General features: G+C 39.0%; 1 annotated feature.

The window, feature by feature from the left end:
- Positions 561–1,084: an enhancer, noted in NCBI's record as "OCT4 hESC enhancer chr13:21780309-21780832 (GRCh37/hg19 assembly coordinates)". NCBI's record gives its function as "activates a minimal SCP1, AML or CMV promoter by ChIP-STARR-seq in naive H9 embryonic stem cells {active_cell/tissue: H9 hESC(naive)}" and the evidence as "EXISTENCE:reporter gene assay evidence [ECO:0000049][PMID:30033119]".

Below are 3,018 nucleotides of genomic sequence, written 5' to 3'. Positions count from 1 at the left end.
TATATACGTATATATGTATACACACACTCATATATACGTATATATGTATACATACACGCATATATACGTATATATGTGTATATACACGCATATATACACATATGTGTATATACACGCATATATACGCATATGTATATACACGCATATATACGCAAATGTATATACACGCATATATACGCATATGTATATGCAGGCATATATACGCATATGTATATGCACGCATATATACGCATATGTATATGCACGCATATATACGCATATGTATATGCACGCATATATACGCATATATGTATACACATACACATATACGTATACACATACACATATACGTATACACATACGTATACACGTATACACATACGTATACACGTATACACATACGTATACACATATACACATACACATATACATATATGTATACACATATACACACACATATACATATATGTATACACATATACACATACACATATACATATATGTATACACATATACACATACACATATACATATACACATATACACATATACATATACATATACGTATACGTATACACATATACATATACGTATACGTATACACATATACATATACACATATACGTATACACATATACATATACATATACGTATACACATATACATATATGTGCGTATACACGTATGTATGCACATATACATATATGTGCGTATACACGTATGTATGCACATATACATATATGTGCGTATACACGTATGTATGCACATATACATGTGTGCGTATACACGTATGTATGCACATATACATGTGTGCGTATACACGTATGTATGCACATATACATATGTGTGCGTATACACGTATGTATGCACATATACATATGTGTGCGTATACACGTATGTATGCACATATACATATGTGTGCGTATACACGTATGTATACGCACATATACATATGTGTGCGTATACACGTATGTATACGCACATATACATATGTGTGCGTATACACGTATGTATACGCACATATACATATGTGTGCGTATACATGTATGTACATTTACACATATTTACGTATACACATGTACATATATGTATCTATATGTATACACATATAGATACATATATATGTATACAGATACACACATATATATATTTCTTTTTTTTTAATTGAGATGAAGTTTTGCTCTTTGTTGGCCCGGCTGGAGTGCAATGGCACAATCTTGGCTCACTGCAACCTCTGCCTCCTGGTTTCAAGCGATTCTCCTACCTCAGCCTCCCAAGTAGCTGGGATTACAGGCTCCCGCCACCACGCCCAGCTGATTTTTGTATTTTTAATAGAGACGGGGATTCACCATGTTGGCCAGGCTGGTCTCGAACTCCTGACCTCAGGTGATCTGCCCACCTTGGCCTCCCAAAGTGCTGGGATTACAGGCATGAGCCACCACGCCCGGCCTATATCGTTTACTTGCTACAATCGTGTATTCTTTTAAAACTTAAGATTGTAAGACATGTTGTTCTCTGTTGCCACAGTGTTAGTTATACTTTTGTTGAATGTAATAATATATTGCCTGGATATACCACAATTCACATAATCATCTTCCTGTCATTTAACCTGTCTCTGTCACAGGTATAAAAAATTCTGCAATGAACATCTTCATGCATACAGCTTTTATTATCTTGTGAATTAATTTGTTTGGGCCAGATTCCCAGGTGGGAATTTCTGGGTTAAAGGGTGCTATTTTATTTCAAAAAAATGTTTCTGATGATCTAAGTATAGATTTGAGGATACAGTAGAAAGAAAGGCAGATTTGCAACAGATAGGAGCAAATTTTAAAATCCTGAGGGAGAAGCAGGGCTGTGTCACCAAGGCATAGATAGTCCTCTCAACATAGGGGTGTTTGGTGCTCATCTTTCTAAACCTTTCTTGATGCCCCCAGGCAAAGCTGCTGGGAGCTGAGCAATAAGAGTGATTCAGAAGCACTCTGCTCAGATCCACCGGAGGTAGCAGCTCCAGCCCGGGAACAGACATAGTTACCAAGGAGACCTCTGCATTTCCCCTCTTTTCCAGGTTAACAGTCCTGAGTCTGAGCTAGATGGTTGGATGGAATTAGTTAAAAATAGGGAGAAGAAAGGAAATGGCTTTAAAAGACAATTTAACTATTAACCTCAGGAACCAGCACCAAGCACAACACGGGAACATTCTGATCCATTCCTTTTTCTGTGTAACTTCATGATTTGATCTTTTCTCTGAGATGAATTTATTTCCATGTTTCTTTAACAAAATAGAACCACCAGCATCTTCCATATGCATCCAAAAATTAATAATGGTTATGTCAAATGTCGCTGCCACACAAGCCCACAGGGGCCCCTATGGGAAATGCTCTGAGGCCTAATACGATGATTATTATTGCCTTGTAAGGTATCTCAAGCTCACATGCTCCATCCCCAGCATGACTCCACCGCTGCCAGACTTATTACTATGGAAGTTTCAGGACCTGGGAACATGTTGCTCCTAGCTACTCACAGAGTGCTCAGAAGCCTCCATGGCTTTCTTCTCACTGGATTTCTACATTCCTACTGGCTTTTCTTAGCTTTAAAAGCCAGCCACACAGAGGCTGAGAACTGGGTCCTGAGGTGGGTGGATCGCTGCTGTTGCTTGGGTATGTCTTTGCAAGACCAGGATTCAGGATGTTGCTGCCTTCTACCAAGTGGGTTGTCTGTAGTTTGCAATAACAGCATTCTTTAGCTTCGGGCTAACAAGACAGAACAGTAGAATTTACCACTTAATGATGTGTGACACGTAGCCCACAAACTGGGTGTGCAAAAATATATACTTTTTCACATTTTCTTTTTTTTTTTTTATTTTTTTGAGACGGAGTCTCGCTCTGTCTCCCAGGCTGGAGTGCAGTGGAGCGATCTGGGCTCACTGCAAGCTCCGCCTCCCGGGTTCACGCCATTCTCCTGCCTCAACCTCCCCAGTAGCTGGGACTACAGGCGCCCGCCACCACGCCTGGCTAATTTTTTTTTTATATTTTTAGTAGA

This window comes from Homo sapiens, chromosome 13, assembly GCF_000001405.40.
Source record: "Homo sapiens chromosome 13, GRCh38.p14 Primary Assembly".
Classification (NCBI taxonomy): Eukaryota; Metazoa; Chordata; class Mammalia; order Primates; family Hominidae; genus Homo; species Homo sapiens.
Note: the sequence above shows the minus strand (reverse complement) of the source record. Positions and strands in the feature narration are given on the sequence as shown.